Source organism: Homo sapiens, chromosome 7 (genome assembly GCF_000001405.40).
Source record: "Homo sapiens chromosome 7, GRCh38.p14 Primary Assembly".
Classification (NCBI taxonomy): domain Eukaryota; kingdom Metazoa; phylum Chordata; class Mammalia; order Primates; family Hominidae; genus Homo; species Homo sapiens.
In genome coordinates this window covers 128,783,872-128,809,872 of record NC_000007.14, presented here as the reverse complement: position 1 = coordinate 128,809,872, position 26,001 = coordinate 128,783,872, and the positions used below count along the sequence as shown (strand labels likewise).

General features: G+C 47.8%; 1 protein-coding gene across 26 annotated transcripts in view, besides 2 other annotated features; it reads right to left on the bottom strand.

Moving 5' to 3' along the window:
* CCDC136 (coiled-coil domain containing 136) overlaps window positions 1-19,112 on the bottom strand; it is a 31,370-nt gene extending 12,258 nt beyond the window's left edge. For 11 of the 26 annotated variants that reach the window (XM_011516483.2, XM_011516484.2, XM_011516489.2 and 8 more), the window contains exons 1-12: window positions 18,322-18,435; window positions 17,446-17,553; window positions 15,271-15,525; window positions 15,105-15,179; window positions 8,364-8,687; window positions 5,112-5,223; window positions 4,349-4,514; window positions 3,972-4,112; window positions 3,478-3,636; window positions 3,015-3,185; window positions 2,328-2,513; window positions 229-423 (exon numbers count right to left, since the gene is read on the bottom strand). In XM_011516483.2, coding sequence (XP_011514785.1) covers window positions 229-423; window positions 2,328-2,513; window positions 3,015-3,185; window positions 3,478-3,636; window positions 3,972-4,112; window positions 4,349-4,514; window positions 5,112-5,223; window positions 8,364-8,687; window positions 15,105-15,179; window positions 15,271-15,525; window positions 17,446-17,553; window positions 18,322-18,379 — 1,950 coding nt within the window. In that variant the 5' untranslated portion in view covers window positions 18,380-18,435. Of the gene's footprint in view, window positions 1-228; window positions 424-1,108; window positions 1,338-2,327; window positions 2,514-3,014; window positions 3,186-3,477; window positions 3,637-3,971; window positions 4,113-4,348; window positions 4,515-5,111; window positions 5,224-8,363; window positions 8,688-15,104; window positions 15,180-15,270; window positions 15,526-17,445; window positions 17,906-18,321; window positions 18,436-18,896 lie in introns of those variants that run through there. The other 15 variants (XM_011516486.2, XM_017012532.2, XM_047420720.1 and 12 more) reach the window with 11 other exon arrangements.
* Window positions 18,329-18,798: a silencer, noted in NCBI's record as "silent region_18615". NCBI's record gives its function as "represses an Ori minimal core promoter by ATAC-STARR-seq in GM12878 lymphoblastoid cells {active_cell/tissue: GM12878}" and the evidence as "EXISTENCE:reporter gene assay evidence [ECO:0000049][PMID:35858748]".
* Window positions 18,522-18,790: a silencer, noted in NCBI's record as "fragment chr7:128431137-128431405 (GRCh37/hg19 assembly coordinates)". NCBI's record gives its function as "represses an EF-1alpha promoter that drives an FKBP-Casp9 reporter gene in an ReSE screen in phorbol 12-myristate 13-acetate-treated (for megakaryocytic differentiation) K562 erythroleukemia cells {active_cell/tissue: K562(+PMA)}" and the evidence as "EXISTENCE:reporter gene assay evidence [ECO:0000049][PMID:32094911]".
* Window positions 19,113-26,001: the final 6,889 nt, after the last annotated feature.

Here is a 26,001-nt window from a genome sequence, read left to right as displayed (position 1 = left end):
GCTGCACAGATTCCTGAGTATAAAAGGTATTTTAAGATTTAAAGCCCTTATAAGAAAAACTCTAATTGGCTCTATGGAGCTTTTTGGTTTGGGGAGAGTGGTGAGAAAGTAAGGAGTGGTTGGTAAGAGAAAAAGTTCAATCCCCACCCTTTTATTTTTCCCTAGTCACACAGGGAAGCTTCTCAGAGCAGCTTCCCCGCAGTTAGCAGCTGCCTGTGGCAGAGTTACCTTGAGTAAGAGGCCACTCTTTGGCAGTGGCAGTGTGAGCCTGTGCAGCTCTTCCTGCAGCTGGCCCTGCTCCTCCTGCATCCTCCTCTGATCCTCCAGGAGCTCACACTGCTCCATCTGCAGCTGCCCCATCTCCTTCTGGCTGGCCTTGTACTTTTCCTGCAATTCTGTCAGTCTGGACAGCAGTGTGTCACACTGTGGGTGGGGGCGGGTGTGGAGGGGGTGGTTACTCTGTAAGGTAAGCTTCTTGGGTGGCTAACAGAGCACTTCTGCGCTCTCCTGCCTCTTGTGATCCTCTCCCTGTGCAGTCACCTTGGACTGGTCACCCCAAGCCACAATGCATTCTGGCTGTTTAGATACCGATTGGGGATCCCCTGCAGGCTGCTCCTTCAGAGCAGGTTGCTCTAGACTGGTGGCTGGCCTTGCTCTAAACTTCCACCATTCCTTTCTGGGGGCAGTTTGATGGGGAATGCTATCGATGCCCCTTTCTCATTTCCCCCTTCCTCTTCTCCGGCCCTTTCCTTTATACACCATATTCCCACCCTGTTGGGAACTCTTAGCTCCTGTTATTCTCATTAACCCCAGTTGTTTTTTAATGCAACTACACTCCTTACAAATAAGGACTTAATTTCACCCTAATTTTTCCCATTTTTGCTTTCCTAATTCTCTCTTTAAATCTTTAGAAAGTATGCGCTATTGGTAAATTTGGGTTGAGAAGACTAAATCATCCCATTTCCAAAAACCCAGATCTTCTAATATCAGACAGATCTCAATGCTGTTTTACGGCTAGAGAAAAAGCAGGTGCTGTCTGCCAGCATGCTTCTCCTTTCCCATCATTTTTCCCATTAGGGGAAGAGGTGACGAGCAAGTCACAGATCACCTGGGCTCCTAAATTGAGTAGCAGTGGAAAAAGGAGGAAACGTGAGCCTGGATATAGAAAGGCAAAGAGACTGCTGAGGTGGCCCAAATAACCTTCCCAGTCCTCCGTCTCCTGAAGGCCTTTCCCCAGGGACAGGAACTACTGAGTTTTCTGGCAGAATGTGACCAACTCCACCATCGTTAGAGACTCTTGGGCCTCTTCTCCAACATGCTTCAACACCTTTCCATTTCCCATCAGTAATCAGGAGCTGAAAGTGCTCAACAGGATAAATGATAACGGCTTGCATTTTATACACTATGGAAAAGAAAAAAAATGAATAAGGCCTTATTTATCACTACCAGGATTTACTGCTAAAAGGAAGTGAGTTAAGAGTAGTATTCTCTTCCATTTAAAGAGGGCACAATTCAACCTTCCACAATTTAATTACTGGCAGGGCATGGCGGCTCATGCCTGTAATCCCAGCACCTTGGGAGGCCGAGGCAGGTGGATCACCTGAGGTCAGGAGTTCGAGACCAGCCTGACCAACATGGCGAAACCCGGTCTCAACTAAAAATACAAAAATTAGCCAGGCACAATGGCATGTGCCTGTAGTCCCAGCTACTTGGGAGGCTGAGATAGGAGAATTGCTTGAACCCAGGAGGCGGAGGCTGCAGTGAGCTGAGATCGTGTCACTGCACACTCCAGCCTGGGCGACAGAGTGAGACTCCATTTCATAAAAAAAGAATTTAACTACTTCAAAGTCACAGAATAAATCCTAGAAGAGCCTAGGTCCTTCTCTTGCCCAATCAGCACTCTGGGCACAAGACCGTACCCCTTTATAAGACCATTTGCAATCTGACCCAGAAAACTGGCCCCTTTCTCTAGTTCCAACAATAATATTTGTGTAATGGGCCCATGTATATGTTCCCCTCCAAGAATGACTAGATATCACTACAGTTCTAATACCATTGTATAAATGTCTACATACATGGAATCATGTGTAAAACTTTCAGGGGTTCAGACTGGGATCCAAAGGTATTGATCCTACTAAGCTGTGGCTCTGGCTCAAAGTCAAGGTCAGGGCAAACAATTTTGAAGTTAGCAGCATGTGGCCCTGCCTCTGCTTCCTGCCTAGGAAGGCCATCAAGCCCTTGGGTTGGGTGCCTTCACTTTTTGCCTCTGTACCTCTTCTCTCTGGAGCAAGTGCCCAGGAGCTGTCACCTCTCTGAACGACAATTACCTTATTAGCACACTTTCCTTTGTCCTCCGGAATGGGGTGGGAGGCCTTGAGCTCTTTCAGCTCCAGCTGGCAGAGCAGGAGGTCCTGCTCCAGCTGGTCATACATGTGCTTCTGCCGCTCCAGCTCGTCCTTGCTGGCCTGGTACAGCTGCTTCATCTCCTGAAGCTGAGCGTGCGTCTCTGTGTCCTGGGCAGGGGAGGCAGGCCTGGCCATCATCCCAGGCACTCCTGCTGCTGGACTCTCTCCTCCCAGGCGGGGACTAAGGGGACCCATCTTCCCTTGTCCTTCTCAGCCCCAATTTCATCCCAGCCAGGGATAGATACCCAAGATGGACCCGTCCCTGACAGGCTTGAAACACAGACCTTCCCAGTGCAGCCTTTCCAGTTAAATAAATAAATAAATAAATATAAAAATAATTTAAAAAGAAACACAGACCTTCTGGGGCTTCCTTTTTTGGGAGGTGGGGAGGCAAAGGGACTTCCTTTTTATATGCTGCTTTTCTGATTTAAAATCAAAGGAAGCTGAGAGCCTTGTGACTCCCCGAGGTCACCTTTCTCCTAAGCACCTCTTTGGCCCCCTCACTGCCAGCTCCTCCACACTCCTACCATTCCCTCTCGTCCTCTGTGCTCTCACCCTCACACAAGATGATGCCTGGCTACATCCTCCCTCACCAGGAGCTTCTTTTACCTTCTCATTGCTCTCTTTGAAGGAGGCCACCGTATCCCTGAGGTGCTGCAGCTCTGCCTCATGGCACTGCAGCTCCTCCTGCAGCTGCTGCTGCCGTTCCAGCAGCTTTTCCTTCTCACATGTGACGTTCTGGTGCTGGAGGTGCAGCTTCTGCAGCCGGCACAGTAACTCCTATGGTAGAGGGGGCTTTGGGCAGTGCCTTTGGGCTCCTTAACCCACTCACTCTTCTGTGTGAGTCACTTGAAGACACCAACAGTCTAAGATTTGCTTCTTCCTGCCCTTCACTTCCTAATGTCCTCATATCTAATGTAGTACTCGAGCAGGGCTGGAGTTCTTTACCTGTGGTGCTGCCTATGTGGTTGCTGGAATTATTTTTAACTCACTACTCTTATCCACCTTCCCCAAAACCTCAGAAGGATGCCCTTAGCACCTAAGTTGTCCCCTCACCTCTGGTTGCTGTTACCTTCTCACTCTGGTTTTCTACAAGTGTGGATTTCATGACTTTGAGCTGCCGGAGCTCAGTCTGAAGTTGCAGCTGCATCTTCAAGAGCTCGTTCTGCTCATCCTGGCTAGTATCATATTTTTTCTGCAGGGTACAGAGTCTGGACTTCAGCTCCTCATTCTGTGGTAGGGAGGATGTGAGTAGAACAGTTACTCTCAAGAAACAGCAGGTCTTTCTACGGATCAGTTGGGTTCCTTTTCAGATGCAGACATCTTGAGGAGCTCCCACAGGTCTAGGGTTTGGTTTCTTCTGTGAGATGGACACTCAGTAATGACCACCATTTCTAGAATGCAGTGCTATATGACTTCTACAGTTGGTTTCCAGCAGACTGTGCCCAGTTGCAGGGCAAGAGTCAGCAGAGCACAGCCATACTCACTGTGCCCACCCCGGTTGAAGCAGCCCCTCCATGAGGCCCTTCTGCCCCCACCCCAGATGCCTCCCCGGGCAGTGTTTACCTGGGTGACACTGTGGGAGGTCTGAAACCGAAGCACCTCATTCTGAGCACACTTGAGCTCCCTCTGCAGCCGCCTCTGCTCCTCCTCACTGACCTGGCGATGATGCTGTAGCTCTTCCAACTCACAACACAATTCCTGACACTATGTGGGAAATGGAACAGGGAGGCTTGTTTACTACAGATACCACATATGCTCCAAGAACAAGCTTGGGGAAAGCATGGCGCTCTTTGACTGGAAGATTTACATCAGGCAAGTGAGACCCCAGAGTACTATCTCCCTCCACAGTGGATGCCTATGGAGATGTTTCTACCACAGGCTGGGAGAAGGTGAAAGAAAGACAAGAAATGTGCCTGCCTTCCCCACCCTCTGTGCCCTACCTTGTTCTTCATGCCATGCATCTGCTCTTCAGCATCCCGTAGCTGCTGCCGTAACAACTGCATTTCAGGATCAGGCTCTAAGAAATCCATTTCTGAAGTCTGAGACTCTGCTGACGTCATACTCAGTGTTTGGGACTGCAGCCATCTCTCTGTTGCTCTCTGTGTCCTGCAATTCAGAACCGCAGAGCTATGCTTGAAGGGAGTTCTGCCTGGCATCACCAGCCATGCAGGCTTTGTCCTGATACCTTCATTTTAGGCCAAAGATAGTAAGGGGCCTTCTATTGTGACTCACCGCTCAGATAAACATGCTTAAAAGACTACAGAAAGTCTCCAGCCCCTCAATCTGCAAAGGTGTGTTTGGCTCTGGGAGACCCTTAGAGTGCCAGTCCAGTTAGTTTTGAGGCTAGGCCTAGTCAAGCCCACTCCAATCTGGAAGCATTGTGCCTGCCATTAGACTGAAACAAGTCTATGCAGACAATAAAAGAATCTCTTCTGATCCACTTTAGGGCAGAGCAAACCAGAACCCAGTGCCTAGAGCAGAAGTAAACTTCAGAACTCACTCCCTCTAGTCTTGAGATAATTGGGTCGGATCCCCATGTCTGCTTGTAGGTGGTATCTGTATCCTTTGGAAACCATGGAAAGGACTGGGTCTCCAGGAGCAAAGGAACGCTCACTGCCCTGGCATCTGCCTTCAGGGAAAGCCCAAGGTAAGGCAGAGTCCTGTGGAACCCCATGACCTCTCACTCTCCAGAGACAGCTGTACCTCTCACTCTCCAGATCTGCAAGCTGCCCCGTGAGGCTGCTGTTGCTCTCCTGCAGGGCCCGGTATTCCTCATTCAGGAAATGGTAGCGTTCCCGCAGCTCCTGCAGTTCTTCTGCAGAGGACAGGCAGAGAGAGATGAGACCGGGAGGAAAGGAAAGCACTGATGACCAGCCCCCAGTTTTCCTGTCTTGAAACCTGAGAGCAGAAGGTTAAAGAGCTTCTCTTTTTCTAAAGACAGAAAAAAGGTAGAGGCTTAGAAGACAGGGCCCAGGAAATTCCACAGTGCAGTGAGTCTTTCTCCTCTTCCCAATAGCTGTCCTTCTTCTCATCTGCCCTGAAGATTTACCCTGTGTGCTCATCTTCAAAGCCTCAACCGAAGCAGACTCTTGAACTTTTAGCAATTTTTGAAAGTTTAATTAACTTTCAAATTTTTACTGTATGTAAAAACTTTCAAAAGTTTACTGTATGTAAAATTTCCATTCAACTGTTTATGATTACCTTCCAATTATGCTTTTAGTACAAAAAGCTGAGAGATGTGAACTGTCAGATGTGACTGCCAGTACCTGCCTTTCAGGCATTCTGAGTTTCCTTTTATGTTCTTTATTCCCACACCAAATACATTGGTCTGGATGTGGTAAAGAATTCTTGCCAGGTGTAGTGGCTCAAGCCTGTAATCCCAACACTTTGGGAGGCCGAGGTGGGCAGATCACTTGAGGTCAGGAGTTTGAGACCAGCCTGGCCAATATGGCAAAACCCCTGTCTCTACTAAAAATACAAAAAGTAACCAGGCGTGGCGGTGCATGCCTGTAGTCCCAGCTACTCAGGAGGTTGAAGTAGGAGAATTGCTTAAACCCTGGAGGCAGAGGTTACAGTGAGCCAAGACTGTGCCACTGCACTCCAGCCTGGGTGACAGAGTGAGACTCTGTCTCAAAAAAAAAAAAAAAAAGGAATTCTTTCTAATGGCCTTTTATCTGCTGACAGGCCCATCCTAACCAGACTCACATATCATCCTCAAGCATTAGAAGAGATCCGGTTGAAATACTCCAGCACATGTCTCTAAGCACCAGTCACCTATACCTATACTTTTTCCTTTTTGGTTTTGTTTTGTTTTGAGATAGTCTTACTCTGCCATCCAGACCAGAGTGCAGTGGCACAGTCATGGCTCACTGCATCCTTGACCTCCCTGGACTCAGGTGATCCTCCCACCTCGGCCTCCCAAGTACCTGTGACTACAGGCACACACCACCAAGCCTGGCTAATTTTTGAATTTTTTTGTAAAGATGGGGTTCCGCCACATTGCCCAGGCTGGTTTCAAATTCCTGGGCTCAAGTGATCCACCTGCCTCGGCCTCCCAAAGTGGTGGGAGTACAGGCATGAGTCACCATGCCCACTTTTAAGGCTGTGATGATACAAACACCTGTATCTGTTTTGTTGCTTCATGACTAAGAATTATGTTGGCCGGGTGCAGTGGTTTACACCTGTGATCCCAACATTTTGGAAGGCCAAGGTAGAAGGATCATTAGAGCCCAGGAGTTCGAGACCAGCCTGGGTAACAGAGCAAGACTCTGTGTCCACTAGCAAAAAATTGAAAAAGAATTATGTCTCTTAGAACATTAATTCTACTGATATTTAAAGAACACTAACTTGCTCTAATTAGAACACAAGACCTATCTTACCTGCTGGAAGATTCAACACCCTAAAAGTAACTTCTAATGTTTCCTCTTAATTCTAATCAGAATTCCTTAGAATACTGCAGATTACCATATAAGGGAGGAAGGAAACTAATCTTTAATGAAAACTAACCATGCGCTAAGCATTAGACTTGATAGTTTCAGCCTCAGATTTGGTAAGTGTGCAAGTGATTTCAACATGCTTCACATTTCATTTAATTCCCAAAATAGCTCTGTAAGGTTTTTTTCTTCTTTAAATAAACTTTGAATTTTAGAATAGTTTTAGATTTACAAAAAAGTTGCAAAGGTAGTACGGAGTTTCCTGGGAGGGTTCTCACCCAATTTCCCTAATTGTCAACATCTTACATTACCATGATATACCTGTCATGACTAAGGAATCAAATATTGATACATTACTATTAACTAAACTCCATAGTTTACTTGGATTTCTCTACATTTTCCCTAAGGTCCTTTTCCTGTTTCAGGATCCCATCTAGCTATAAGGTTTTATTAACCAATTTTGATTTCATATCCTGGATATAGAAACAGGCTCAGAGAAAGACCATAACCAGACCTCCTACGTTCATCCTGCTAATTAGTGGAGCTGAGATACTGAACTCAGGTCTGTTTGACTCCAGCCCAAGCCTTCCCACTGTGCCAACCTTCTTCTCCCAGCACCATTTAATCTAAAGGCTCTTCTGAGAGGCTTGATACAGCTGGAAAAACTTGCAGTTCTTTGATTCCTTGTTGATTGCCTCTGCTTGACCTGGCCAAATATAGGACCTCCATTATACTCAGATTATAAATCTAGCCTCAGAATAAAGGCAAACTCTCTGATGTCATGAATCCTAGCAACTAGCTGGGAGACTCACTGTCTGAAAGCAGGGCTCTAGGCTTTTGGGTACCTCATGTATCACTCAGAATAACTTTTCTTCTCTAGCTGTCTTTTGTTCCGATTTGTTGCCCCCCAAAGCTTCTATTTTGAGGAGAGCTAATGGAACCTAAGAATTAGCATCCCTGCACCTGGAAGCAGGGCCAGAGGCCCCCTATAAAGCATTCCAGGCAAAGCACCATGATGCCAGGGCAGCAGGAAGAGTTTCCCAAGGTGACAGGTCCCTCTTTGCCCATCCTAGAGCTGGAAATTTTCCCAGGAAGGGTTTTCCCATAGTCAAATCAACAAAGACCCAATGACTCTCTGAAGAATTCCCAGGGTACCTCTCCATGGTGCTATTTCTTACACCACCATGGACTGGTTATGTAACATCTGGGTAGGTTTTTCCCCTTTACTGTCTTTTTAAAATTTTTATTTAAATTTTTCTTTTAGAAAGAGATAGGGTCTCACTTCATTGCCCAGGCTGCTCATGAATGCCTGGGCTCGAGTGATCCTCCCATCTTGGCCTCCCAAAGTTCTGGGATTACAGGCATGAGCCATCACGCCTGGACCCCTACAGTCTTGAATTCAACCTGGAGGTTTTTTCTAGAGATTCCCAATTCATGATCTAACACCACCTTCTACCATTTTCCTATATATTATCTCCTTTCCTCTGCTTGACTTTACTGACCCACTTGATGGCTCTCATACCTTGTAACCCAGAGTAATCTGAGAGACCTAAACTACCGGATGGTTCAGAGCTCTTCATTTCCATTTCTGCACGGAGGGAGGCGATCTCCATCTCATAATCTCCCCGAATGCGTTCCATGTCTTCAAGTTCATTCTGCATCCGGCAGAGATCCTCCTGCAGGGATGCTATGTCACTCTCATGTTCAGTTGCGGAATCCTCTGCTGCTTGCCGCAGACTCTGGATCTCAGCCTGGGCCAAATGCAATTCCTGTTCTATTTCCTTAAGTTCGCTTTCTTTCTCATGCTCTAACAGGGAAATCTCCTCCCGTAGAGAACGCAGCTCACCTGCAAAGTCCAAAGGTTGAGATGATCAAGAGGGCAGGTGAACTAACCTACCATGTTCTAGAGGCACAAAATTAAAGGGAGACTTATTTCTTGTCTGCAAAGTCCTGAAAACCTTGTCTCTACCCCATCAGAGAAGTGTAGCATCATGCCGGACGGAATAAAAGGAGTACCTAAGAAGGGAAAAGAGAGTGACTCTATGTAGTAAGGTCCAATAGAAAAGTAGATTTTGAGGCCTGGCACCAAAACAATCACTTAGTCTACTGTAAACAAAAAGTATTTCATGCTTCTAAGGAATCACCTGACAGTTAAAGACCTAACTTCATTTATAGTATTTTCTTGATGCCCTGAATCTTTCTAAAAATCCCCTGACTCAAAAAATGTATACAGACTATTTTCACCTATTCATCCTGAGAGCTCAGAAATTACAGAGCCTCAGAGTTCCCATGACCTACCTGTGGTAAGTACTGGACCTAAAACAATGTGCATTTAGAGTTCACAACTCAAATTCAAATATAAGTTCACTGCATAATAACCAAACACGGGATAATAATCTAAGTGTCAGTCGATAAGGGATTGTTTAAATTGATGATAGGCTGGGAGCAGTGGCTCACGCCTATAATCCCAGCACTTTGGGAGGCCAAGGCAGGTGGATCACTTGAGGTCAGGAGTTCAAGACCAGCCTGGCCAACATGGTGAAACCCAGTCTTCGCTAAAAAAAAAAAAAAAAGAAAGCCAGGTGTGGTGGCACGCCCCTGTAATCCCAGCTACTTGGGAGGCTGAGACAGGAGAATCATTTGAGCCCGGGAGGCAGAGGTTGCTGTGAGCCAAGATCGCACCACTGCACTCCAGCCTGGGCAACAGAGTGAGACTCGGTCTCGAAAAATAATAACAATAATAAATAAATAAACTGATGATAGTTAAATAGAATATCATGCAGCCATTTAAAAGAAAGTATCAGATCTATGGTGAAAACAAAGAAGTTTCCATATTAACTGAAGAAAAAGAGCTGTAAAATATATGCTATGATCTAATTTTTGCAAAAAATATTTTATGTATAGTATATAACACACAAATGGACAAACATATAGAAAAAGGCCTGGAAAGATCTATGCCCAAACCATAATGAGTAGTTGTTTCTGAGGTATGGGATAACATGTGGTAAGGTTTTTACTTTACATATCATATCTATCTGTGCTGTTTGGATTTTCAGAACAAGCCTATATTTTCTATTTTTTAATTTACAAAATAATGAGTTAAGAGTTCTCTGTATCTATGGAGCATCTCAGAGTTTCTAGACACATGTACCCATCTGGGATCAGAACGAAAAAGTGGAGAGAGTAAAAGGCACTGACACCAACAGTGAATTTAGGATTTGAGGGCCAGGATTAGAGAATTAATGAGGATTGGGTTGGGAGGGTCAGGATTTTCCCATAAATCCTTTGCAAGGCACATTCTCCCATCCCCTTCCCCCAACTTCTGCTCATTCTACTCACCACTCAGATGTCAACTTTTCTAGCCTGTACCTCCACTTCCTCAAAAAAAAATAAGAGAAGTCCTCTATTAAATGGTCTCATAAAACCTTGTACTTTGCTATATGTGTGTGTGTACTTAAGTCTCCCCTTCACTTGGTTATAAGCTTTATCGAGGCAGAGAGCATATCTGGTTTGCTCACCATTACAGCTCCAGGATCTAGTATTGTGCCTGAAAACGAAGCTCAATAGATATTTGATGTATTCATGCATAAGTAAGGCAGCAGTTCATCTATTCAACAAACTTTTGCTAAGTATCTCTTATGTGTACAGAACTAAACATTTGGGGTTTGGGGGGTTTTCCTTTCTGTTTTTGAGACAGTCTTGTTCTGTTGCCCAGGCTGGAGTGGAGTGGCATGATCATGGCTCACTGCAGCCTTGACTTCCTGGGCTCAAGCAATCCTCCCTCCTCAGCATCCCTAATATCTGAGACTACAGGCATGGGCTACCATGCCCTGCTTTTTTTTTTTTTTTTTTTTTTTTTAATGTAGAGATGGGGGTCTCTTTCTGTTGCCCAGGCTGGTCTCAAACTCCTGGGCTCAGGCGATCCATCTTGGCTTCCCAAAGTGCTGGGATTACAGGCATGAGCCACCACACCTGGCCCTGTTTGGATATTTTTTAAAAATTAGAATAGAATCTAGACTTTCAAAGAAGACAAATTTGGACACGCTTCATAGATAGATGCTGAGTGGTGAGGGCATCTCAGGGGAAGATCTACCCTGCTCCCCTGAGCTCACATGTGGAACTATGGGCATGTCTTTTGCCAATCTTTCCAGTTCTAGAATGATCCTAGCTGTTACGTCTCCTTGATCTATTCAACAACTATTAACTGATCCTTAACTGCGTGCCAAGGCCAAGAATCTCCTGTTAGATTCTCTGACTTCCTATTGGAAGAAAAGTCCGCTCTACCCCCACTACTGAGCAGCACAGTGAGGTCTGTCTAGCTAGGGAGACACAAGAGGAAGCTGGCCATTAGGACAAAGGCCCTAGAGTCTGGGGTGGGTGTTCTGGAGAAACAGACCAACCTCCACCTCCCTAATATGCTTTTGATGTTAGGGTTCAACTCTCTCTTAGGTGCTTCTGGCCCTAAAAAAATGGTATTGTCGGCCAAACACGGTGGCTCACACCTTTAATCCCAGCACTTTGGGAGGCTGAGGCTGGTGGATCACTTGAGATCAGGGGTTGGAGACCAGCCTGGCCAAAATGGCGAAACCCCATCTCTACTAAATATACAAAAATTAGCCGGGTGTGGTGGCTGGCATTTGTAGTCCCAGCTACTCGCGAAGCTGAGGCAGAAGAATTGCTTCAACCCAGGAGGAGGAGGTTGCAGTGGGCCAAGATCTCGCCACTGCACTCCAGCCTGGGTGACAGAGCAAGACTTCGTCTCAAAACAAACAAAAAACTCTACTGAGGAGAGAATCGCTCTGGAACCCTATTTTCGGCCGGGCGCGGTGGCTCACGCCTTTAATCCCAGCACTTTGGGAGGCAGAGGCGGGCGGATCATGAGGTCAGGAGATCGAGACCATCCTGGCTAACACAGTGAAACCCCGCCTCTACTAAAAATACAAAAAATTAGCCGGGTGTGGTGGCGGGCGCCTGTAGTCTCAGCTACTCGGGAGGCTGAGGCAGGAGAATGGCGTGAACCCGGGAGGCGGAGCTTGCAGTGAGCCGAGATCACGCCACTGCACTCCAGCCTGGGCGACACAGCGAGACTCCGTCTCAAAAAAAAAAAAAATAGAACCCTATTTTCCCAGGTAGTTCCTGCCTGCATCTCTGCTTCAATTCTGACTTTTCGCCCGTTTGAATGGAGGAACGTTCCTTCTCCAGGCAAAGGCCTTTTTTTGTACTGGATCTTTTCTTTCATTATACATGATCTAGCATTTCCTACCTTTGAAAAAAGAAAAGAAATAATCTTTTGACCCTATTTCCCTTACTTCTCTGCTTCTCTTCAAAATGACTACTGGAGTTATCGGTACTCACCTTCATCTCCCATTTCCTCTCCAAACCCAATCCAATCGGTGCCTCCATGCACTGAGATGTCTCAGGGTCCTCTCTCTTGCCAAATCCAAGACCATCTCACTTGACTTAGCAACCTGACACAGTGGATCACTGTCTCCTTGAAGCACTTTCTGCTCTGGCTTACAGGGCATGACATGCTCCAGGAGTTCCTCTCACTTTACTCTTTTGTTCATTTCTCCTTCTATACTGGACCTCTAAATACTGGAGTGTCTCTGGGACTGGACCCTTTCTCCTCTTCTGGTGTCTCTCCATGTGACTGCACCATTATTTCCCATGGATTCTAATGCCAATTATATGCTAATGACTCCAAATTTACATCTCCGGCCCTGTTTTCTCCCTGGTTCTGCCTTTATATATCCAACTGCCTCAATATATTCACTTGGATGTCCACAGTTACTTCAAACTCAACAGAGGAAAACATGTTTTAAATGGCTCCCCTAGCCCCAAAACTTACCCCTTGCCAAGTCTTTCCCAATTCAATAAACATCACCACCTTCCATCAATTTTCTCAAGGCAAAGTCATCTTTCATGTCTCTGTTATCCCCTGATCGAATTCATTAGCAAATCCCGAGGGCTTCACCTTCAAAATATATTCTGGGCCGGGCGCGGTGGCTCACGCCTGTAATCCCAGCACTTTGGGAGGCCGAGGCGGGCGGATCACGAGGTCAGGAGATCGAGACCATCCCGGCTAAAACGGTGAAACCCCGTCTCTACTAAAAATACAAAAAATTAGCCGGGCGTAGTGGCGGGCGCCTGTAGTCCCAGCTACTTGGGAGGCTGAGGCAGGAGAATGGCGTGAACCCGGGAGGCGGAGCTTGCAGTGAGCCGAGATCCCGCCACTGCACTCCAGCCTGGGCGACAGAGCGAGACTCCGTCTCAAAAAAAAAAAAAAAAAGAATATATATATATATATATTCTGAATCATCTCCATTTCTACAGCCCTAACTCAAGCGACCATCATCTCTTGACTGGACTATTGCAGTAACTTGCTGACAGGACTCACTGTTCTGAGTCACTTCCCTCCATCTTAAGTGTTTCCACTTAGTGGCCAAGTTCTCTTTTAAAAATGTAAAGCAGATCGTATCATCCCATTCCTGGCTAAGACCCTCTCCTGGCTTTCTACCACACTTAACATGAAAGCCAAACCTCTTGGCTGGCCTACAAGATCCACTGTAATCTGGCCTCTGCCTGCCTCAGAACGTTCTCTTGCCAGGGTCCTCCACGTGCACTTTGCTGCAAACACAGTGGCCTCTGTTCTGTCGCTCAAACAAATGAAGCTCATTCTCACCTCTGGGCCTTTGCAGTTGCTGTTGCTTCTGCCTGGTATGCTCCTCCCTCAGATCTTGGATGGCTGGATCCTTTTCATTATTCAGGTCTTAGCTCAAATGTCATCTTCTCAAAGATGACTTTCCTAACTGCCATATCTAAAATAAACTCCCTTCAAGACCAGCCTGGCCAACATGGTGAAACTCCATCTCTACTAAAAATACAATAATTAGCCAGGTGTGGTGGCGCATGCCTGTAATCTCAGCTACTCGGGAGGCTGAGGCACTAGAATCGCTTGAACCTGGGAGGCAGAGGTTGAAGTGAGCTGAGATTGTGCCATTGCACTCCAGCCTGGGCAACAGAGTAAGACTCTGTCTCAAAATAAAATAAAATAAACTCCCATCCCACCTCCTCTCTGTATCATATTATTATATCGTGTTCATAGCATTTATTGCCATCTGAACTTGTGTTGTTTATTTTCTGCCTCTCTCCGTTAGAATGTACTCTTCATTAGGGCAGAGATGTGGTCTGTCTCATTCACAGCTGGTCCTCCAAGTATAAAGGCACCTCATAAATAGGTGATAAATAAATTAGTCCCATTTTACAGATAAGAAATGACATCTCAGAAAGATAAGTGACTTGCCCAAGATCACACAATTTCTAAGTGGTATAGCTGGGCCCAGGAATCTAGGTCATCCCAGATCAATGCCCACACTCTTCCCTATGTGACACGTGTCCTGCCACTTTCCTCCTCTGCAAGCCCCTTCACTGACCACCCTTCCTGTATCTACCTTTGCTTACATTTTCTGTCCCCGTCTCCTCTCCTCCCCACTTACACCTCTGCTTGCTCCTGTCCAGGCCTGCTTCCTGGCCTTCCTTTTTTTTCTCCATTTATACTTTTCTTTTGGCTTGATCTCAGTTCTCCCCAGAGTCCCTGCCGTTTTCTAGGGCAGCTCCCCTAAACCTTCCGGAGGCCCACAGAAGTAACAAAAGCTGCCTCTTTATTTGGTGGTGTGGTGGAATGTGGGGCATCTGCCTTGCTGCTTCCCAGAGACAAAGGGACGTGGGTGTTGGCAAAAAGGGATTTGGGGCCCACAAGCTCAGGTCCCAGGCAGCAACAGAAGTGCTGTCATCTGTCTCTCTTAATAGGTGCAGAGAGGCCCCACCAGTCACTTCTCATTGGCTTCATGCTTTCCCATGCCATCCTTGGAGGAACCAGAAAAAGGAATCCGGCTTGGAATTCAACTTGGATCACCCACCCCTGGCACTGACCAGGAGAACAAAGGGACAGGGATGCAGTATGAAGGAGGAGGCTGAAGGGGCAAGAGGAAAGAGCCCACCAGGGACAGGAGGTGACAGGGAGGCCAAGAAATGGAAGGGGAGGACAGAAGAGCCAGGTAGATGTGCAAAGAAAGAAAACTGGGGACAGAGGAGGATGGAGAGACAAGGAGAGGAAAAGGGTGAGACTAGTAGAGGAAAATGAGGTGAAATTACTGAATTTGGTTATTTTTATCTGCTGTGCTTCAGTCAAACCCTCAGGAAAAAAGTACTTAGGTGACCACTTGGATGGCCACCTCCCTCCAGTCCAAGTCCTGGGAATTACCTTGGAGCTGCTGGATCTGCTTGGTGAACACCTCTGCCTGCTGGGCGCTGGCTAGCCGTTCATCCTCCAGGAGCCCTGCAGGGAGAGGGGCACCAGTGTCAAGCTCGGATCCAGGGGAGTGCAGAGCCTCTGGGCCCGGGCACTGGGCCCTGGCCCAGGCACTCACCCTGTAGCTCCAAGGAGTCATCCTCATGCTGCCCTGCCAGTTCCCGGGTCTCCTCCAGTTCTGCCACCAGCTGCAGCACCTGAGCCCGCAGCTCCTCCAGCTCTGTCTCCGTGAGGCTCAGTCCCCGGTGCTTGTTGACTGACAGAGAGCCAACACTGCCACCTTTCTGCACTTGTTCTTCTTCTTCTTCCACCTCTTCTTCCTCCTCTTCCTCTTCCTCTTCCTCCTCATAGAGAGCTGGGAGTAACACCTCCCCTAGGAGACACAGCCATCCCACCAAGGAGTCAGCATCAACTTCCTTTCTGCCGTCCTTCCAGGGCCCTCAAACTCACTATGCCAGGGCAGAGATGACATACTAGTGCCACCTGGTGTCCCCCAAGGAGCCCCGGGGCAAGACCTGTACTCAAGATGAGTCCTCAGGTGTGAGAGTCAAGTTGAGAAGCAGCCCCTCCACCTCCCAGGCCCTTCCTGGACCAATGTTGCACTTGGTAGCCTCCTATCACTGCCTGTGGGCAGGCTGGTGCCCGCTCAGCCATGAGACACTTGCACAGGATTACCTGCTTCTTCTAGGCTGGCCTCTGAGTAGCAGGACAAGTAGTCAAGAAAGGAGACAGTGAGCGGATCTTTCGGTCAAATGGGGTAACAGTTACAGTTTGGAGATTTCTTGAAAGTTAAAAAACAAAACAAAACTGACCAGGCATGCTGGCTCATGCCTGTAATCCTAGCACTTTGGGAGGCTGAGGTGGGTGGATTACTTGAGGCCAGGAGTTCCAAACCAGCCCGGTCAACATGGTGAAACCCCTTCTCTACTAAAAATACAAAAAAATTAGCTGGGCGTGGTAGTACACGCCTGTAATCCCAGCTACTTGGGAGGCTAAGGCAGGAGAATCGCTTGAACCTGGGAACTGGAGGTTGCAGTGAGGCGAGATCGAGCCACTGGCACTCCAGCCTGGGCAACAGAGTGAGTCTCCGTCTCAAACAAACAAACAAACAAAAACAACCAAACAAAAACTATCCAGGTGGCTTGTGAAAAATCAGCCTTTCCATAATAAGAAAACATTGCCCGTCAGCAGGTAGAGAAAGAAAATATCTGATTGTAGAGGTTTCATTGGACAAACTCGGGCGCCCTTTCAAATGTATATTATTAAATACCTGTTTGAAATTTTCTACAAGGTCCACCTTGTTTTTCCCTGCTGCATGTCACAAGGTCTCCTCTCCCCTAGCTGAGCCATATGAGGCCCCTCCTACTCTGCTGACCACAAAGTAGATTTCAGGGGAAGTTTTAGGCTGTACTTGTGTGTAAAAGAAAGCCTACCATTTTAATGCATTAAAAAAACTGGGGTTTGGTGCTGGCCCCCAGCCTCTGGTTGTGAGCACCCGCTCCTTTACTGCAACGCAGTCCCTATAAATAGCAAAATGTTGTCTGGATGGTGATTGTTTGCTTTGTTTTAAAATTCTGAATCTCTGGTCTTACTTTATCTAATATCAGCAGCCTTAGGTTCAACTGGGACCCTTCGTGCCATCTGTCCCCCTTAGGGGGAGCAGGTTTGCCCATACTGAATGTGCAACGTGCAACACTTCACAGGAAGTACTGGCAAATGGACCAGCGTCCTTCCAGGGGCCTGGTGTTGGCAGCAACTGCCAAGTCACATGGGTGTGGTGGGGATACACGTGTGTTGGGAGGATGGCCTCACGCGCCCCCTCCTAGGCTCTCTCTTTCAGGCAATAAGGTATCCTAAAGAACCAAAGCCACAGGCTTCCATTCGAAGTTAATGTTGGTGGCCCCAGAAAGACAATTCACATGCCCAGTTCCTTGCTTTTTAAAATAAGAGACAGCTTGGGATCTGGGTCGGCAGGCAGTGAGGACAAACCCCCTGCTGAAAGGCTGCTTCAAAGCTCTGTCCAACAAGGCCTCTTTCTCTGTCTGGCAGCTCCCTCGGGACACATAACCTGGTTAGCTGGGGGGTGATTGGGGTCCCGAAGGGATGCATCCTGAACTTCTGTCAAAGCCTGAGCCCTGGGAAGGGCTGGAGCTCTGAGCTGCAGGAAGAGGGGCTAAGATGAACTGAGGGAAGGGCTGTGTCCTGGCTCAGAGGCCTGGGGGTCAGAGGGAGGAAAGAAGGGAATTAAGGGAGGAGGGGAGGGGAAAGAAAGAAGCCTTTTGGGAAAACTCACCCTCCATAGCTTGCATCCCCCGTCGTTCCAGGGACCCCCAGCGTTGGCCCTTCTTCCTCTCACAGCCCTCGGAAGCCTCATAGGAGCCTAGAGTGGTCACTGTGGGTCCTGAGAGCAGGGAGAAAGGAGGGGCTGGGGGGTGGGGGGCTGGCTGCGGGCTGGGGTGCAGAGGAAAGAAGGGGACATGTCTTCCAGCTCCTCGAGGCTCTGGGATCTGTAATCCCAGTGGAGGTGCCTGACTCACTCTGGCGGCTCTGCGACTCCTCTCTCTCGGCCACCTCTCAGCCCTGCCTCCCAGCCTCCTCAGAACCCGCTGTTCCAGGACCCTCTTGCTTGCACAGAAAGAAAGAGGGGGTGTGCGTATTTAGTCCGGGGGGACAGGGAGGAGAGGGCCAAGACTGAAAGAGGGCGGGAGCCAGTGAAGAAGAGGCTGAAAGGCTGAGGTGGCCTACAGATGGAGGGAGGGAGGAGTGGGGGGCGTGCGGGAAGGGGTAGGGCTGCGACCGCTCCCCTCCCCTCTCCTCCCATTCTCTCGCTGGACCTTGCCCACCCCACCCTCGCCCCGCGCTCAGGAGTCTCCGGGGCTGCAGGAGGTGTAGGGTCTGCAGTCCCGAAGGCTGGAAGCACCGTCGGACTGAAGTGGAGAGACGCGCTGGGGAGGGACCACCAGGCAGGATGCGGCCGGTGCGCGGAAGCCTCAGTCCCAGGCCGGAAGGATGGAGACCGGGCCCCGGTGGAGGCCAGGATGGAGGGAGGAAGACTTTGGGCGGAGAAAGGGGAGCCGCGGAGGCCGGGAGCACCTGGGGGTCTGGAAGGAGGAGGGATGGAGGAGAGAAAGGAGGGGCGGTAGACAGGTGACGGAGGGGCGGCTCTGACCTGGGCCCGGGCAGCTCCAGCCCGCGGCTCCCGCGCCGGCTCCGGCGCCCGCCTCCATGACCGCTCCCGCCGCCGCCTTCCGCCTCCCTGAGCAGAAGCCGCAGCCGCGAGCCCGGGGACCCGAGCCGGGTGCGCAGGGAGGGAGGGAGGGCGGACGAGGGGGCGGGGCCTGGCCGGGCCTCCTGACACCGCCCCCCGCCGCTCGCCGCCGCCCGGAAGCCCTCCCAGCACTCGGGAGCTCCGAGCCCGTGCAGGGGGCGGCGCGGGAGGGTGAGCGCGACCCCGGATACGCCCCAAGGCTCTCCCCTAGAGAGCGCGGGGAGCCGCGGGGCCCGGACAGCGTCAGGAGCTCCTAGGCTTATGGCTGCCCCAAGAGGGAGGAGCGAGATCCCCTGGTTCTGGCGGCGGGTCCCCCCGGGGTCTGCTGTGCCCAGGGACCCTTCTGCACCAGGTGTCAGGGCCCGGTCATGCTCAGCAATGGGGACGGCAAAGGACGAGGTGGGACTGTTTCCTCCAAAAGCGCAGACACGCGCGCCCCTCCTTCCCTCCCTCCCCCGCCCGGCCGGCGCCCCCACCTAGCAGTCCGCGCTGACTCCGGCCCCAGGCCCTGCCCACCCCTGCCCGGTGGCCCCTCGGCAGCCTGGGGGCCGGAGGAGGGAAGTCGAGGCCCGGATGGGCGAACGGCAGGGCCCTGACCTCTCCGCTTTCCGCGACCCCCCACCGAGCCAGGGCCAAGGACCCTCTTAGGAGGAGCCCTCCGGTGGCCCCATCAAGCCTCAGGGCCGGAAGACCCCCTCTCCTCCGCCCTGTCTTCCCTTCCGGTCCCACACCCGGTGGGCTGCGAGCCACGCCCCCACAGTAGCCCGCTCAGAGTGGGCACGACTGATGTTCACTCTCGTGGAAGGGAGATTTGGAAGCCCAGGGGGCTTATTTCACGTCTTCAACCATTCGTTTATTCAGGCTATGACTACTGGGTGCCGGCTCTTGAAGAGGCAGTTCTCACATCTCGGCAGGTCTCGGCAAGGATAGAAGTGGGCACAGTTGGGAACAGGGGCTCCCCAGCACATCCAGGAAATGGCTGGAAGATTCCTAAGCCAGGGACACACGCGGATCCCCTCTCTGGCACATCCACTCACAGGTCGAGGGCTAGTATTGTCTGCGTTCCCCCCGCTGCAGGAAAGGGATCCGGATCCAGACCGCAACAGAGGGTTCTTGAATCTCACGCAAGAAAGAATTCAGGGAGGTCCATAGGATAAACTAAAAGCAAGTTTATTAGGAAAGTAAAGGAATAAAGAATGGCTACTCCATAGACAGAGCAGCCCCAAGGGCTGCTTTTTTTGGTTATTTCTTGATGATATGCTAAACAAGGGGTGGTTTATTCCTGACACCCCCTTTCAGACAATGTAGGGTAACTTTCTGATGTTGCCATGGCATTTGTAAACTGTCATGGCACTGGTGGGAGTGTAACAGTGTGAGGATTACTAGAGGTCACTCTCACTGCCATCTTGGTTTTAGTGGGTTTTGGCCGGCTTCTTTACTGCAAGGTGTTTTATCAGCAAGGTCTTTATGACCTGTGTCTTGTGCCAACCTCCTATCTCATCCTGTGACTTAGAATTCCTTAAACGTCTGGGAATGCAGCCCAGTAGGTCTCAGCCTCATTTTACCCAGCTTCTATTCAAGATGGAGTTGCTCTGGCTCAAATGTCTCTGACATCCCACAGGCTCCCACGTCCACAAGCCATCCCTGTTCCACGGGAAGGAAGCCCTTCTTTGCCTGGACTTCCCCCTCCTTTTCAGCTGGGGGTCACCTCCAGGTGGCCTTCTCTGACTGGCACCCCATCCCTGCCCCACTAGGCGCTTTTGTGGTGCTCGCCCCTATTTGTCTGTAACAGCACCAGGCCCTCCGGGTTGTCCGGGCTCTGCCCAGTTTCCTGAAGGTTAGGGGGATCTTAGTTATCTTTGTATTTCCAGCATCTGACAGAGTTTCTGACACAGGATAAATGAGTTAAAGGTCAATCTCCCAGCTACCCAGTTAATGCCCTGTCTTATCATTTAACATGATTTCATATTTGTGGTGTTAAATGTTGCCTATTAATGATGATGTTGCCCATAAGTCTCTCTCCCTCCCCCAACTCCTTGCTCCTTTTTTCTTCCTCTGCCTCTCTCATTATCTCAGCAGAGAGATGATGAGCAGAGATCAAGAATGTTTTCTTTGCTCCCAGATGACAAGATTCTACTCCAGATCCTGTGGCCAAGGTGACACAGTTGTGGGGAAAGTTGAACAAGCCCACCCAGACCCCTTCTGCAGAGGGTTTACTGCAGACGCCAAGCCTGTCCAGATTTGGGGAGCAGAGCATTTGTCAGGGGTGGTAGAAAGGGGCTGCACTGGGGGCTTGAGGGATGCAGTGCTCTGGGAACTGGCAAAGACTAGTTCTGGAAGCTTACTGGCTGTTCTTTCTGCCCAGCGCAGCTCCTCCTGGTTCTGCCTCCGCCAGCAGGGCCACGTTAGCGGTTGGCCTTGACTGCTGACCTCTTGGTGAATGTAGGGAGGCACAGCAGGGAAATTGTCGATGGTGACATCCAGGGTTCAAGCTCTCCTCAGGGAGCTCTGATCCTGAGTATTAGGACTAATCTCTCCCTGGCTCCTGGCATGCAGGTCACCTTTCACCCTTGATTTGGGAGAACATTTAAGAGAGACCTGAACCAGTCTATTTTCAGGAGCCAAACTTGGTCAAACCCTGGCCAGACCAGTACTGGGTTGAGGGCGGAGGGAGGCAGTTAAAAGGCGGGAGAAAAGAGCTTAAGAGATATGAGGGAGGTGGGCTGTGGTCCAGAAATGCATCTCTGAGGGGCCAGGAGTGGTGGGCATGTCAGCCAGGTGATCAACCTAGGGGGATGATCTGAATTAATCCCTGTAATCCCTGGACTCAGGGCTCAGCCTCCCTCCTAATCCCATCCCAGGAGATCATCCTCTTTGAGGACTGATGTAGCCATTTATCCCCCTTTACCCTTATTTCTAAATGCCTAGATCCTTTCATTAAAAAGAAAAAAAATATGAGTATTTGAAACATGCAGAAAAGTATGGTACAGAGAATAACGTAACAAATAACCATGCACACAGAACTGAAATCCTACAACCAGTCAGATCTTGCCACATTTGATTCAAGGTAGCCCTCTATTTATGGTTTTCCAGTTTTACCTGTATGTATGTTTTACCTTTTATGAATGTGTCTACCAACAATACATAATTGCGACTTGTGTGTTTTAGAAATTTATGTAAATAGTGTTATATTGTACACATTTTTCTGCAAACTTTTTTTGTTTTTTTTTTTTTTTGCATTTATCCATGTTGTTTCATATAGCTCCAGTTTATGAATTTTAACTACTGAAAACTCTTTCATTGCTTGAATTCACTGCAATTTATCCATTTTTCGGCTGATTGACATTTTGACTGTTTCCAGTTTTCCATATTAAAAACAGTGCTGCACTTGACAATTTCATGCATTCTCCTAGGATGGATACCTAGAAGTGGAATTTCTGGGTCATAGAGTAGGTGCATCTTAAACTTCACTAGCCGTTGCCAAATTGCTCTATTGTGTAGTTAGACCAATTTAAACACCACTGACAGTGGCTTTAATTTATCCTCTGGCCCCCACTGATTTGGAAGTTACACATTCTATTTCTACTCTTTCAGTGATTACCTCTTTATATATTTCTAAACATTCTTACTTAGCTCTACAGTGAATCAATATCACTATACTTTTTCTGAATAATAGATCTTAGAACATGTTAACTCTGTTCTTCTTTCTCCACCATCTCCCATATTTCTATCTAGTATTTTAGTTTCCCCTTCTTTCTAACCCCAGGAAGTGTCATCCTCACCATTATCACCACCACCACCATCTTTATCATCATCATCTGTCTCAAGGCTTGTTTAGATCTACTAACATATTTATAAATTTCTCTGCTCACCATTCCTTCTTATTTCAGTTTCCTTCTTATAAAATCTACCCTTTTGTGGCATTTCAGTGTAAGTCTTTGAGGGGTTAGCATTCTCAGTTAATGTCTTAAAATGTCTTTATTTCATGCCCTTTTAATGAAAATTTAGTAGGCATCAAATTCTGAATGACAGTTATTTTCTCTTAGCCTTTTGAAGATATTTTTTCCCTGTAATCTTTTGCTGCTAATAAGTGACAAAGATTTTTTTCCATAATTTTAAAAAATAAGTATTTTCTTTTCTTTTTTTTCTTTTCTTTTTTGAGAAGGAGTCTCACTCTGTTGCCCAGATTGGAGTGCAGTGGCGTGATCTCAGCTCACTGCAACCTCTGCCTCTCGGGTTCAAGCGATTCTTCAGTCTCAGCCTCCCAAGTAGCTGGGATTACAGGTGGGCACCACCACACCCAGCTAATTTTTGTATTTTTAATAGAGACAGGGTTTCACCGTGTTGGCCAGGCTGGTCTTGAACTCCTGACCTAAGGTGATCCACCCACCTCAGCCTCCCAAAGTGCTGGGATTACAGGCATGAGCCACCACGCCTGGTCAAAAAAATGTCTTTTCTATAATCTTTTTTTTTCCATTCTTTTTTTTCCCTTATAATTAATCTCCTGTTGCTAGAAGTGAGCTGCAAATATAATTGTTATCTTTGTAGGCAGACAGGCATTTTTATTTCTGGTTATTTTAAGGTTTTTCTCAGGTGTGGTGGCTCATGTCTATAATCCTAGTGCCTTGGGAAGATGGCCTGAGCCCAGGAGTTTGAGATCAGCCTGGGTGACATGGCAAGACTCTGTCTCTATAAAAATTAAAAAATAACTCCAGCCTGGGTGACAAAGCAAGACTCCATCTCAAAATAAATAAACAAATAATTAGGTGGACATGACAGCACACACCTGTGGTTCTACCTGCTCAGGAGGCTGAGGTGGAAGGATTGCTTGGGCCTAGGAGTTTGAGGCTTCAGTGAGCTATGATCACACCACCGCACTCCAGCCTGGGCAATAGAGTGAGACCCTGTCTCAAAAAAAAAAGACTTTTCTCTTTCTTCAGTATCCTGCAGTTTCTCCACAGTGTGTTTCAGAGCTCAGGACTCTTCAACCTGAGAACTGTGTCTTTCTTCCATTAAAATTTTCAACCATTATCTATTGGAATATTATATTTTCCCCATTCTCTCAGTCACATTCAGGAACTCCTATTAGATATATATTAGTCTGTCTCATTATTTCCCTCCTGTTTTTTAGCTATTCTTTCATATTTTCTATCTTATCACTTTCCCACTTTTTCATATTTTGAATTATTTCATCAGCTCTTTTCCAGTTCACTTATTCTCTCTTTGCCTGAGTCTAATAATCTACTGTTTAATGCATCACTGAGTTTTTAATGTCTTCTTTGTTATTAAGTATAATTTTCCAGTGCTAAGAGTCGTTAATTTCAATGTTTATGTCTTTCATTTCTTCATGTTGTGTTTGATTTTTTTCCCTATGGTTTATTTCCTTGTCTTTAATACTTCTACATATATTTATTATATAATGTTTTTCATGTTGTTCTATCATGTGTAGTTCTTGGAGTGCTCTCTTGTTTGCTGTGTCCACCAACACTTCCTTATGATGAATTGCTTCCTTGTCTAGTTTTGTTTCTTCTCAGCTGAACCTGTGGCTAGAATCACCCGAAAAGCAGGAACTCCACAAGGGAGTGCCCCAAACTGTTCTGAAATGGGGCTGGTTGAGATTCCAAAGACACCAAGCAATGAACATCAGGGGATTGGTCCAAAGCATTTATTAGGGGAATGTACATAGAAAGTGAGCTGCCGTGGATCCTCGGGGTAGAGAGCGAGACAAGGGATGTTCTGCCTAGGTGTGTCCACAATGAGGGAGTTTAAATGAGGTTTATGAAGTTTAAATGAGGGTTTCAGGAATTTGGCTGGGGACAGGGCTAGCTTCTATATGTTTAGCAACATGGTTGGTCTTTCAGTGTTTTCAGCAACAACCTAAACACCTTTATCAGTGCCTGTGAATGTTCAAGGCCCTAGCTTGGGTTCAAGCCTATAGGGGAAAACATTTCAGCTGGCTGGATCACAGAGCACTTAAAGCACTCTGTATCTCTCAGTCTGGACAGAGGGAAAAGCAGGGAAAGTTTATAATATTTTATATTATACAGGTTCATAATTTTTATTGTGAGCTCTTCTTCAGCACATCTTGGGTTTTTGTCATTTCGATGGGTTGGTTGGTTGGTTTGTTTTGGTGGGAGTCCTATATGCCCTGGTTATATGAAAACAGTCTTATAGAACTCTTTTTTGCTTCTGTGTGGCTGTGTGGTATTCCTAAGGATTTCAAGGGTCATAAACCAGGTTTATATTTAATTTCTCGCTTGGATTCAGCACCATGAAGACATAAATCCAGATACAGTACAAGCACTTGGTCAGACTTAGAACATCAATTTCTCAGGGTTGACTTGTATTTCCACCCCTTTTCTTGCTTCCTTGCTGGTTTTTAGTTCTCTTTTCTTTTCTTTTTCTTTCTCTTTCTTTTCAGAGACAGGGTCTGGCTCTGTTGCCCAGGCTGGAGTGCAGTGATGTGATCATGGCTTATTGTAGCCTCAACCTCCCAGGCTCAAGCGATCCTCCCACCTCAGCCTCCTAAGTAGCTGGGACTGCAGGTGCACACCACCACACCTGGCTAATTTTTTAAATTTATTTTTTGTAGAGAAGGGGTTTTGCTATGTTGCCCAGGCTGGTATCAAACTCGTAGGCTCAAGTGAGCACCCCACCTCAGCCTCCCAAAATGTTGGGATTGCAGGTGTGAGCCACTGTGCTCAGCCTTTAATCTTCTTTTCACGAACAAGACGGAGCTTTTATATTCTGAGCTTTATGCAGGGGGTTCAGCTTTAGCTCCTTGCCTCTGGTAGGTGAGGCCACATATCCTACAATTGGAAGCATTGAGACACTCCAGATCTTGGGTGTCTATCTTATCTGTGTATGACATCCACAATAGGCCGTTGTGATATCCTTCCCCCTGCCCCCCCGCCTTTTTGTTTTGTTTTGTTTTGTTTTCATTATTTATTTGTTTGTTTGTTTGAGATGGAGTCCCGCTCTGTTGCCCAGGCTGGAGTGCAATGGTGCCATCTTGGCTCACTGCAACCTCCGCCTCCAGGTTCAAGCGATTCTCCTGCCTCAGCCTCCCAAGTAGCTGGGATTACAGGTGCTCACCACCACGCCCAGCTAATTTTTATATTTTTAGTAGAGATGGGGTTTCACCTTGTTGGTCAGGCTGGTCTCGAACTCCTGACCTCAGGTGATCCACCCGCCTCGACCTCCCAAAGTGCTGGGATTACAGGTGAGAGCCACCGCGCCCGGCTTTTTTTTTTTGTTTGTTTGTTTTTACATTCCTTCTTTAATCCTGATAGCTGATAATTTCCTTTATTAAAAAAAAAAGTTGGGATTGTCCAATTTTAATTTTTGAATTCTATTTTATCCAACATCCCTGTGCGTGTTTGGGGGCACTGGATGAGGGGGTAGCTACCTTAGTCCAGTCTTTCATGTTGCCAGAAGTTCCCCTTTAGATTCTCTTTATCTGTAATACGATTCCTAACAATCCCTATATCTCTAGGGTGCATTACAGTTTCTGATTTCATCCTTCCAACAACTCTGAGAAATAAGTTTTGAGACTCAGAACTGTAACTGTCGTCCTAGCTT